Source organism: Homo sapiens, chromosome 14, assembly GCF_000001405.40.
Source record: "Homo sapiens chromosome 14, GRCh38.p14 Primary Assembly".
NCBI lineage: Eukaryota > Metazoa > Chordata > Mammalia > Primates > Hominidae > Homo > Homo sapiens.
The window spans coordinates 35,932,240-35,946,026 of record NC_000014.9 but is presented as its reverse complement, the minus strand read 5'-3'; the positions used below and the strand labels follow the sequence as shown (position 1 = coordinate 35,946,026).

At 36.3% G+C, this 13,787-nt stretch overlaps 1 annotated feature.

Moving 5' to 3' along the window:
- Positions 12,956-13,015: a silencer, noted in NCBI's record as "silent region_5682". NCBI's record gives its function as "represses an Ori minimal core promoter by ATAC-STARR-seq in GM12878 lymphoblastoid cells {active_cell/tissue: GM12878}" and the evidence as "EXISTENCE:reporter gene assay evidence [ECO:0000049][PMID:35858748]".

Below are 13,787 nucleotides of genomic sequence, written 5' to 3'. Positions count from 1 at the left end.
GCATGACCAGGCAAGAACTGAGGTTGGAAGCATAAGCAATGGAGGACAGTGTGTGCCACACTAAGGCATCTGAACTGTTTCCTACAGTCCAGGGGTCTCAAAACTGGGGTGCACACACCACAGGGGACACACAAGATGATCCACTGGGGTAAATTATGGGAACTTCTAACTTATTTTTACTCCAAGATTTAGGAAAATGTTAAGCTTCACTAATATTTCATTTCAATTAACAATCAATAGGTCTGAATGTCAAACTGTCACACATCATATAGTGAGCAGAGCATCCTGCAGGAAAATGGAATCCCATAATATGAAGGGTTGGACCATCACCTCATCATTCTTTTTTGTAATTATTGTAACATGTTGCATTTTATGGTGTCCAGTTAAATAGATTTATGAATATTACCTAGTTTTAAGCAAATAACTGTCATAAAATAGATAAATTAAAAGATCTCTTCCAAGAAACACCACACTGAAGATAATTCTAATAGAGTTAGCACAAGAGAAACTGAGAAAAAGGCAAAACTGATCCTTCTATTCCTTGTATAATATCTTTGCCAGATAAAAATACTAACAATTCATTGACCACAAATATGTGTGTGTGTGTGTGTGTCTGTGTGTGTATGTATGTGTATATATAGTGTATATATATATATATATATATATATATATATACACACACACATATAAATATGAAGAAGCCTATTTAAAATATGGATTTATATCTAGGCTATGAAAACCTTACAAAAATTTACTAAATTTGATAAAGATTAAAAAGTCTCTTTTGCAGGATTTTTATTCAAAAGTACAAATTAAAAATACCTGTTCTTTCTGCCTTAGGAAGCATGGTCAACAACATTCTGAGGGCGGTGTGGTGACCATCTCACAGGAGGCAGTGGCCCTGCCCACATTCCTTTTGTCCAGATTGTCCCTATGCCAGACAACTGCATCTTGCCGCAACACCTGTGTTCTCCACCTGAGGGCTCTCTCTGGGGCCGCAGATAGGTAGGCCGGAAGTGCTTGGTTATTGGTGTCTAGCCAATGACAAACATATAAGAGCTGAGGGATGTATTGCCTTCCATGTGACACAACTCAGAATCTGTACTGACTCCAGAGGGTCCCAGGGGGAGCTGCCCACAGCAGAAAGCTGCTTGAGAACATTCCCTGCGGTAGCTTCATTTCCTGCCTTTTCTCACTGCCGCCATCCCTTCCTTGGATCTCTTCCTCCCAAATCTATGATTAATTCTTACACTCGAATCCATGCCTCAGGATCTGCTTCTTTGGGAACCCAACCTAAAACAGTGACTAAAAGGTATTAGAAAGAAGGAGGAGGTGAAACAGAGCTCAACATTCAAAGAAATACATATTACAATTTTTGCTAAATAGCTGGATCAAATTATAAATATTTCTAACAAGTATCTGTTCTTTATGTTTGTTAGACTCTGTGTCAATAATAAAATACTTGAAGAGCAACTTTTTTGTGATCCAATAAAATAAAATGTAAGCATATATTCTCATCACTATCTATTAAAACACTATGTTAAGTAAATACTGAGTATAAAAACTAACTAAAAAGGAGAAAAAAGAGACCCTAGGATATGGTGACAAAGTTAGCACCATAGTGAAATTCATCCCCCACATCATTACAGGCAAGACATGCATGAAAAAACATTGACACCAATGTTCTCACTTATAAGTGGGAGCTGAACAGTGAGAACACATGGACACAGGAGAGGAACAACACACCCGGGAGGCGGAGGTTGCAGTAAGCCAAGATCACACCATTGCTCTCCAGCCTGGACAACAGGGTGAGACTGCGTCAAAAAAAAAAAAAGGAAAGTATATTAGTATATTCTAGAGGAAGAGTAGATAGCCATGCAAGTTTGGGAACAGATGAGTTGGGAAACTACCTTGACAGAGAATAACATTTAGGAGAAAAAGCTAATGTATCTGCTGTATCTGAGATGCTTGTGGGAAATAAGTATTGATGTCAGAAGGCTGGGCTTACAAATATAAAGTTGAGCATTATTGGCTTATATAACACTTTATTACTTTATCAATGCAGCTTAAAAGCAGATTATTTTCCTTTTTTTGTGGTGGGGGGTAAGTCAGTTTTACATCCGATTAATTCACACAGCTTAAACTCTTAAATTTTTTTCCCATGTGATATTGTTAAGGCATTTCTCTCTATATTCTGTTTTTGCCATTGAGTTTTTGGACCTAAGGACAAGACTTTACCCTTGCACCTATCTGATTTCATCTTGCTAAAGTCAACCCAACGATTCACTTTTCAAGCTCTCCTGGGATGATGATCACCATCAAGCACATCAGCCATAGCTTCTGGCTTTATTTTGTAACTTTCTAGCTTATGTTAATTGAAAAGTTTTGTGTTATTTCTTTTCGCCTCTCTTGGTTCTCAGGCACATGCTATGAAATTGATTGGCTCATGGCACCCTATCATCATCAGTTTATTGTTTTATTTTATTTTATTTCATTTATTTTATTGAGACAGAGTCTCACTCTGTTGCCCAGGCTAGAGTGCAGTGGCGCGATCTTGGCTCGCTGCAACCTCTGCCTCCTGGGTTCAAGCAATTCTCCTGCCTTAGCCTCCCGCGTAGCTGGAATTACAGGCACGTGCCACCACATCCAACTAATTTTTGCATTTTTAGTAGAGACGAGGTTTCGCCATGTTGGCCAGGCTGGTCTCGAACCCCTGACCTCAGGTGATCCACCCGCCTCGGCCTCCCAAAGTGCTGGGATCACAGGCAGGAGCCACCGCGCCTGGGCCTATTTTATTTTTACTTTTTGTTGTTGTTGTTGTTCCCCCTTATACCACATTCCCAATATTGTTTCTTCCCCTTACGTTTTCTCCCACCATATTGGAACTACATTAAAAAACAAATAAATAATAAGGGCTGTACAATGTTAACTTTTCCATCTATGAGAATGCCAGCCAGGCCCAGTGGCTCACACCTGTAATCCCAGCTCTTTAGGAGACCGAGGCGGGGGGATTGCTTGAGCCCAGGAGTTTGAGGTTACAGTGAGCAATGATCGTTCCACTGCACTCCAGCTTGGATGACAGAGTGAGAGGCAGTCTCCAAAAAAAAACAAAGAGGGGAGAAAGAGAGAGAGAGAGAGAGAGAGAGAGCCGTATCTCTCCATTTATTCAGATTCATTCATTCAACAAATATTTCTTCAGTGCCTACCATGTTCCAAACTCTAAGAGCTTCTTTATATCTTTTTATCAAGTTTTAATATTTTTCCATGAGTATTGTCTGCATTTCAGGTCACTTTCTAGATTCTTCAAGCTTTGTTGCTCTAATAAAAGCCATCATATTTTCCATTGCATATTTTAATTGGTTGGTGAAAGTGTAGAACTCTTCTTAATATTTTTGTTGTTATTATTGGATTCTTCTAGCAATCTCACTGAACTCCTTCATTAATTTTAATAGCCTGTCACTTGTCTTAAGTTTTCTGTGAAAATCAAATGTCAAATCGTCTAAGAATAATGACAATACTGTCTCTTACCTTCCAGTCCTTGCACTTTTTCTATATTTTCTTGCCTTGCTGCATTGGCAGAGAAAATTACTTTTGCAAGGATTTACAAACCACTCTCTCAATAATTGATAATGAGACTACCAACCTACAGTTTACAAATTAGCTTCTCTTCTCTTTTTGGAAAAAAAAAAAACGACTATTGAATTTTCGAAGAGCTCTCGTTTTCATCAATATCTTTTTTAAAAAATTCTCAGTTCAAACATTTTCAGAATTTTTGTATGCATTTCCTGAGGCAATTTAAAATGCTAAATGCCATGTTTTGAGTTGTCTTATAGGGAGATTCAGGTTAAGGCCTAGATGATGCTGGAGAAAGGTAAGCAATGAGATTTTATTTGAATCTCAAGACTTTATGTAATAGTAGCTGAAATGTAGGTTATATATCTTTATTTCATTTTTAGTATAGATTTACTCCCATCACATTTACTATCGTCTTCAGAGTTGACCCTTAAAATAATAATAAATGGAAAAGCATGCGATGCATCATAGGGGTTACAGGAGCTAACAGATTTTAGTAAGACACCATGTAATATTATATGAAGATGAAGAACCCTGAAGCCCAAGTTCATTTAGTATGTCGTGGTTAATTCAGAGTAAAATCAAGAGTTAGTACCTGATTTATACCAGTTACATAAAGAAAGAGATGTCTTAACTTCACTGTATGATCACTTTGTCACTTTTCAAAAGCACTTAATTCCTGTTCAATTGAAAATGTTTCAGGAACAAACCTATCTGGTCATTTTATTGGCATTGCACATTTGCATATGAACAAATTTTTGCAAATTACTTATATGGACTTCTCTTCATTATGCTGATTCTTTTTTTTTTTTGAAATAGGGTCTCTGTTGCCCAGGCTAGAGTACAGTGGCACAATCATGGCTCACTACAGCCTCAGCCTCCTGGACTTAAGCAATCCTCCCACCTCAGCCTCCCAAGGAGCTGGGACTACAGGGACGAGTCACCACGCCAGGCTAATTTTTTATTTTTTGTGAAGACAGGGTCTCCCTGTGTTGCCCGGGCTGGTCTTGAAACCCTGAGCTCAAGAAATCCTCCTGCCTCAGCCTCCCAAAGGGCTGGGATTACAGGTATAAGCCACTGCGCTAGCTCCATTATGCTGTAATAACTGTGCGTATCATTACTCTTTTTGGCTTTCTTAACTGTGTTTTAGTGTCTGGTTAGCTAGTGACATTGACACCAAAACAAAGATTTGCCACACATTTGGAGTATACTAGTTCAGAATCAAATTTAAATAGTTTATTGTGAAACCAGAAAATTGTTGTAACACTAGACACACAAAAAAAGCATATTTATTCAGCTAGTACATGTTAATATTTATTGCTTGGATAAAGAAATTTAAAGTGATGATATTATGCTCTTTTTCTCATTCTGCAGTCTTATTCACTTACCTCCTGTGATAAGGTTTATTCATCAGCCTCAAATGCCACTTTCATACTCACTCAAAAATAATAATTACAGCAAGAAAATAGCAAGTGATACTACTTATTTTACTGTATTTATCCTGAGATGTGTGAAGTATTAGTCGGTTTAAGTTTTTTTCAGCTGGATTGAATTTAATTAATAATTTGGAGCATTAAATAATTTTTCCACGAAAATTAACAATGTGACCGTAAGGATAAAAATAACTCATGTTAAGAAGAAAAGAGAACAACAGACATACAGTGTAACAGCAGAAACATTTACTAATCACTCTTCTTCGGCCTTTTCTAGAGCAACAAATCTAAACAGTGCTATGCTTTATGTTGCTTTCTTGCACTTTACAGATGCCGAAAACTTTCAAGTTTCTATCTCCTAGAAGTGGGGTGGGGGAAAAGCTGGTTATTATTCCTAAACCCATTGAAATTGCATTTGTGGCATCAAAATGGATTTTTTTAAAGCAGGATGTTGGATTGACAGTAAAGCAGCTGCTCTGCAACAAACGAAAGCAAAAATTAATAAGAGACCTTAGCGAAAGAAAGACTATTGGTTTTGCACACCCAGAGCAAATTGGCTGGATTTAGAAGAGCACACTTTGATCTTTTCCAGACTAATTACTGCTCTGTGGTTTGACTGTTTTGTGCATTAGTTGCCCTTCATACAAAACCGAAACTGCTATGGTACACAGCTGTAATACAAATGAAAATTTGACATTCAGTAAACAAAGCATGGCAAGGGTCATTCTTTCAGCACAATAACTGCATAATACAATTTTAGAATGCCTTTTGTATACAAAAAATACACATTTTAAGGCAGTTTTGAACTCAGAGTGGGAAGTCAAGGCTGTTTGTAAAAGACAGAGAAGTTGCTCCCAACTCTGATCTATAAATATAGATTAAAAACAGTTTATTTTGACATTGTAGAAATGTGGAGGAATTTACATATTCACAGCAATAAATGCGTTCATTTCTAGAAGACGGTTTTTCATTTTTCTATAAGGTTAATTGGGAGCAAATTTCTTAAGTAGCAGTTTGCAGTAGCAATAATGGTGTTTATTCGCCAATATGATTCTGGATTTGCTCCTGGGAAGGAATTCAGATTATTTTCTACATAGGCTTCACATAAAAGTATTTAATGCTATATTGATTTTTCAGAAAATATAATGAATTAAATAACATTTTCAACAACTACTAATTATTTAAAGATCACCATAATTATTAAAGCATAAATCTCTGCATAAGGAGTATATTTAACATATAACTGGGTTATATAATCCTTCTAAATGCATTTTTAAGATGGTTTTGACAGTCACTTGAACAAGCTGTATAATGTTATCATCAAATACTAAAAAATTGATCAAATATATTTAAAGATTTTTACATTATAATACTTGATTCAGTGTGTATTTAAACTAATCTAAACTTTGGATCTATGCAAACTTTACCCAGTTTTTCCCAATGTACACATTTAAGCAACTTCAAATATACCTATACTTTAAAAGTCAAAGGGTGTACAATAATTCTACCACTTAATGATGAAATATTTCAAATGTAGAGAAATATTTGCTCAAAGATGTAATCTATAAGAAACATTCCTAGCTAGACTAGACCTTAAAAAAAACCTTTATGCTTTATTTCTATCTCAAACTTTTGAAAAGAGGTGATTTAGAGACTATTTATGATACCGTTCCTTTAACTGTTCATTAGAAACTGAAAAAAGGTTTATCCAGGATTGACTGATGGCCAAAAACCATAACCAAGACACTACACCAATGGGTGTTAAAGACTGGAAATATCGAACTCTTCCATTAAAGCATTGGAGAATACCCCACATTCCACGTTGAGCACATTTTCTCTCAGTCATTATTTCTTTAATTGCTATATGAATTATATAAATCTTCTGACCTTCAGTGCCTTCCCTTTTTGCTTTCAAACTTAGCCAGCAACATCCTTCATATACACACACAAAGCTGTTTTCTAAATGCCTGTTTCTGTCTGGCTCATTTACCTTTACCTAACAGAACAGCTCTCCTGGGGGAGGGAAAAAAGAGTAGTTACCTATTCACAGCAAGAGACTTGAGAGTTCAGCACAATAGATTTTCACAATGTGTTTAGGAGAGGCACAGAGCTACGGTACTAAGCACCATGCGGAAAGGTAGATAAATATATAGAGATAGAACCACAGATCTCATCCAAGTGGATTGTAGAATAACAGAGAATCTATAATGCTTTCTACTTCAGCAGCAATCAAAGCCAACCTCTGCAAATTAATCAGCCTGCAAAATACCAAGAACGGAGAAAAAGGATATTGATTCCTGGAGAGGTCACCTATATTTTATTTTCCCATTAAAAATGATCACAGAATGCTATTCTAAAATGTGAACATGAAGTATAAAACAGATTAGTTCCTTTTTGCTAATACTTCTATGAGCATCTCAGAATGACTCCATGAAACTCTTTTGGTTTAATTTTCAGCTGGGTATAGAATTGTTAAACTCTTAAAGCCTCGTTTACCGTGTGTGTGTGTGTGTGTGTGTGTGTGTGTGTGTGTGTGTGTGTGTGTGTTTTCTTAAGGGTGTTAGAGTCTTGGACTTACAGGAATTTAGTGATGACTCCATTGAGTGCTCTTTCTTTCCTATGACCATTAATTATTCAATGTCCCTTTTCATTTGCTTTCATCCTAAATCCTGCCTTCGGATTTACATACTGTCTGCAAAGCAACAAGGAATTAAGAAAGAGGTTTTTCTTCAGAATAGGTTTTCTGGTTAAACACCCAAATTAAAGACCCTTTCCAACCTACTTTACTCAAAAGTTAAAAAGAAATACACTCAATGAGACATAATTTTTTACAAAAATCATAATTCTGGAAAACAAATTAAATTTTATTTAGCAGTGTAAGCTGTTTTCCATAATGTTTTCTTAATGGTCCTATAAAATAATAAAGAATTCTTTCATGTGCTGTACATCAGTTATAGCCTTGTGATGGAATGGCTTTCTGAATTTCCACCTCCCCCCAACCCCAAATGGTTAATGTTCCAAGTTTGTGCTTTGGGGGTTATTATAGTCACAGGTTCTGTTTTAAATTAAACACCTAATTAAAAGGAAGCCATTCATAAGTAGCAATGCACATAAATCAGAATGGAATAATAGGAGCTCCACATATATCGCCTTTTCCCACAAGGCTCTTAGAACATGTTTTGTGCCCAAGAAAAAAACTGAAATTTGTCAATTAGCTCAATTGCAACCAGACCTCTTTGCTGAGTATACAAATTGGTCCCCACTACCACTAGCATGTTTTGGTGTGACAGAATGGCAGCAATTGTCATTTGCCTCCTAGAAATAGACCCTAAAGCAGAATGTTCTCATAGGTCATTTTGAGACTATTACCAACATTACCTTGCTTCCTCCTGGCAAGAAGCTAACTCCATCCAGACAAAGAGAGAAAAGAATTCTCAACCTTTGGGTAAAATGTAAGTACTTGCAGGAAATCTCATTTAAAAATTACTCCACATATCATGGGGCTTTTAATTGCTCCCCAAACCATTTTTCATCTTCTCAAGGTTGGAGGTTACAAGGTACTTTTAAAAATGGATTTAACACTTGCTGGTCACTGAGAGATTAAAGGCATCAATAGCCATGACTGGATGGCAAGACTGCTACCAAAGGCTTCACACCACAACTGATTAATGCCCTCTTTTCACTTCTCTGCATTCAAACACTTACAAACAAGATTGGAATTTTCAGGATTTATCAACATCCAGAACAGAAGATACCACATTCTGAGCATTCCATCATAAAGAGAGGGTTCATTATAGAGCTGATTGCCCAGTGGCCTTAGGGAAGTTACTTCACATTTCTCTTCCCCATCTGTAAAGTGGGAATAAAAGATGGATTTGTGGGATAAAGCTTCACAAGGGTGAATAAACGAAATAATGTCTTTAAATGGTTTTGAAGTCATATACTACAAGTAGAAAAATATTATCTTCAACACATTGTGATCTTACATGAAAGCACAGGGAATGTAATCTGCTGTCTTTTCATCTGAACACATTCAGCAAAAATCACACTTATTAAATACTTGTATATACTTCTGTAATAAAAGTTGTGCTGTCCAATAGCAAAGACTTGGAACCAACCCAAATGTCCAACAGTGATAGACTGGATTAAGAAAATGTGGCACATATACACCATGGAATACTATGCAGCCATAAAAAATGATGAGTTCATGTCCTTTGTAGGGACATGGATGAAATTGGAAATCATCATTCTCAGTAAAGAATCGCAAGAACAAAAAACCAAACACCGCATATTCTCACTCATAGGTGGGAATTGAACAATGAGAACACATGGACACAGGAAGGGGAACATCACACTCTGGGGACTGGTGTGGGGTGGGGGGAGGGGGGAGGGATAGCTTTAGGAGATACACCTAATGCTAAATGACGAGTTAATGGCTGCAGCACACCAGCATGGCACATGTATACATATGTAACTAACCTGCACATTGTGCACATGTACCCTAAAACTTAAAGTATAATAATAATAAAAAAAAAGAAAGAAAGAAAAAAAAAGAAGCTGTGCTGTCATCCAGGAGTTTATTATCTCAAATGAGAGAGTCTATGTGAAAATACATTTTAAGAAATAAAGTACTACACTTGCAATAATAATAGTAATGGATATTAAGTGCTTACCTGTACCAAGCTGTGTGAAACAAGGGTTTTTTACAAGGGTTTATTTAAACCTCACATAACCTTGGGAGATAGATGCTATTATCCCTATTTTATAAATGATAAACCTGACGATGAGAGACACTGAGTCACTTAACTGTGCTATGCAGCAGGAAAGGGAGAAACCAGGGAAGAAGCCAAGGTCTGTCTGCCTTCCAAACTCATGCACATGATGCACACTGTGTTATAAAAGAGATTGTTATGGCGATAATGCTGTCTTTTTCCCCAGATTAGACTGTGGTGGTTTTATCATGACTGACAATTTATGTCTTCAAAAATGCACATGTTGTCCTGAATTAGAAAGTTGAAATGCGGCACATTTTGCTCATAAAAGGATTTTTCTAAATTGCTTTTCTTATTCAGTACTTACTTTTGTAAAAAAGGAAGTATCACACCCTAGAAGAAACTGCTTCTATTCTTATTTTATTGTTCATATGAGTGCAGTAAGTGTTGTATACACCAGCCAATCACATCATGATTTGTTAACAGATTTCTAAATATTTAATATTAACATTTATGACACCAGAAAATACTGGTGAGAGTGACATTATTTTTGTATTCAAATAAATACATAATTGCCAATTCTACATATGAATTTTCTAATCTAGAAATTTTCCTGGTATGGAAATAACAGATATATAAATAAAACAGTATTTTCTTAAATAATTTTATTTTAGTTAAGAATTTATAAGAATCATATTTTCAGGCTGGGTGCAATGGCTCACACCTGTAATCTCAGCACTTCGGGGAAGTGGAGGTGGGAGGACCACTTGAGCCCAGTTGTTCAAGACCAGCCTGGGCAACAAAGTCTGACCCTCGTCTCTATAAAAAACAAACAAACAAACAAAAGAATAGCTGGCCATGGTGGTGCATGCCTGCGGTCCCAGCTGCCCAGGAGGCTGAGGTGGGAGGATCACTTGAGCCCAGGAGGTTGAGGCTGCAGTGAGCTATGATCACGCCACTGCACTCCAGCCTGAGCGACAGAGCAAGAACCTAAGAATCCTATATTTCAAACATTCATCTTAATAATGATGAGCTCTATTCCCACTTCACAAGGAGACAAGGAAAGGTCTTAATACATCGTGAAACAAAATATTTTAATTTCTTCCAAAAGTTAAGTAAATTTAAAAAAATGTATCTGGCCCAACCATTGAAGGGTACTTCTAAATTTAAAAACATTTTACAGGAAAAAAGGTGAATTCTAAATACTCATTTCCACAATTTACATTTTAGAGTATTGTAATTAATTTTAGAACATGGTATATGAAAGAAAAAAGGACTAAAAAATTAACTATAGTAATGTAAGTCTTGCTAAGATAATGAACTGGGCATTTTATTACAATGCTGGAGAAACATTTTCTGATATCAAAATATTTTCTTCATTCTACCATTGTAGTTACTCTGAAAAGTTTAGAAAAAGATTAGGAGCTATGTTTTGAAGAAACTTGGTGTGAACTTTGCTAACAATGACCCAAATAAGTTTTTAGATTACTTTTTTAAGAAATTGCAGTATTTCATGCAAAATGGTACCCACTTTACCACTAAGGTAATTTTTTACTCACCACAAAATGAAAATCTATATTCTGCTCTTCCTTGCATGTCTTTTTAAAAACCTCAAACCAGAGGAATGAGTCACATTTTGGACCGTTTTCTTTTTTAATCTTCTTTACTCCTCTATTCTGTTTCTAAAGGGATACTTAGTTTTGACTAGATTGCAATTTCATTTGAAAAGAATTGGACAGATTTTCTAGAATGAGTTAAAGATTACACATCGAGAGTATTTTTGGCAGCTACCTTTAAAGATGCAAGGATCTTTACCTATGTTACAAACCTGCACATGTATCCTGGAACTTAAAATTAAGTTAAATTAAATTTTTTTAAAAAAGATGCAAGGATCTGTATAAAGTGGTACATCTAGATTTAATGCAGGTAATGATTGTTTTTTTGAGATAGAAACAATGTAATTGTGACATTGGCAGGAAAAATATGTAAGATGTGCTTTTCACTTTTCTCCTAGGGTAAGCATAATTTGTAGGATTTTACTATATTGAGAATGCTAAATACATTAGTGAATTCCTCATACAATGACAACAACGTCTGGTTTTGGTTTTAGCTCAAATGGTTATAGGTATACAATACTATTTCATGTTACTTACAATTAGAGTATGAAACTCAAGGCATGTGGCAAAAATTATAAATTACATCATTTTTATGAAAAAGAAAGGATCAGCCTCCTTGTTTTGTAAACAGACACTAAAACATGTAGATCAAGCAAGCCGGGGAAAGCCCGAAGTAAAATAAGAACCAATAATTATTTTTACATAACAGCCAATGTATAAAAATAATAAATGACTAAATGTTTTCCATCTGTCAAGCACTGTGCTATTTCACAAAAATGATTTTAATTAATTCCTTATAAAAACCACGAGGTAAGTATCCATTGTGCAAATGAGGAAAAAGAAGCTTGTTGTGTCCAAGGTCACAGATACAGAATTCAAGCCTACTAGAATCTTTAATATCATAGTCTAGTAACTGTTCCTCATTGCTTAACAGCTATGAAACAAGAAAAGCATAACTTTCTCTTAAACACTGTCTATAAATTATGGTAACAAAATACACATTGGGATTATAGTTCTACATGGAGAAACTTAGGAACAGAGATTTCTGGCATATGTAAAATATACGTTTATTAGCAAATATTTAGTAAGTGACTTCTATGTTCTAGGCACTGAGCCAGGTGTCTATGATACAATGATGAAGGACAACATAGATCTTGCCATCCAAATAATCATAGTCTAAAAGAAGATGAATATTTAATAGATCATTGCAATAAAACAAGAGAAGTGCTATAAAATCATAATAATAGGTAGCACTTATAGTGTGCTAGTCATTGTTAATAAGCACTTTATATATTTACTCAGGTAATCCTCACAGCAATCTATGAGATAGATACTAAAAAGATACATTTAAGAGTCTATTGGAACACAAAGAAGAAAACACTTCATTTTGCCTAGAAAGGTCAGACATTTGAGCTGAGTACTGTAGGATAACTATGTCAACAAGAGGGGAGTGATGTATCAGCTTGTATAACATAAATTTTGCCACAGTAACCAAAAATCCCCAAATCTTGATGGCTTATGACAATAAATGTCCAAGTTTGCTTGCAAAACCTGTTAGGCTGGCGTGGGAACTCTGGTGCCCGTGTCAGAGCCTCCAGCATCTGGTGCACCGCCGGTGGCTATAGCAAGGAAAGGGGAAATGGTGGATCGTGTACTGGCTCTTTGCATCTCTATCTATAAGACACGTGTCACTTCTGCACCATTTTCATTTGCCAAAGCAAGTCACATGATCATACCTAGTTTTAATGGGGAAGGGCAGTGCCTTTCTACAATATACGCAGAAGGCAAAGAGCAGGAATACTGAGGAATCACCCTAACACTTCCCAAGGATTGGAGAGGATAAGTAAACCCAGGAAAAAGGACACGTGCAAACGCATGAAAGTGAAAATGTGCTTGGTGCAGGTGGTTCGTGGTGGTTTCAATGATGAAAGCACAGGATGCACGGGGGAGAAAAGCGTGGGGAGGAGAGGAAAAGGCAGGCAAGTGTCGAATCATGAAGACTCAACACACTCAGAAAGTTTAGACTTCATCTTTTTGACCACAGGAACTTACTGCAGCATTTTAAGCAGAGGAGAAATATAATCAAAATTTTCATGCAGAAAGTTCAGGCTAACTGGACTGGGGAAAAATCTTCCAAGCTCCCTCAGGTCATTGGCAGAATTCACTTTCTTGCAGCTGTAGGATTGAGGATTTCAGTTCCTTGCTAGAGGCCACTCTCAGCTCCTAAAAAGTCACTCACAGTTCTTTGCCAGATGGGCTTCTTCAATAAGGCCACCTACTTCATGACAGTTTATTTATTCAAAACCAACAAGAAAGAGAGAATGTCACCTCAGGGAAAGCCCAGTCTGCCTTTGAAGGGCTGTCACCTGATCAAGTAAGGCCCACCCAGGATAATCTTTCAATTAACTCAAAAACTGATTTGGAACCTTAATTATATCTGAAAAATCTCCTCA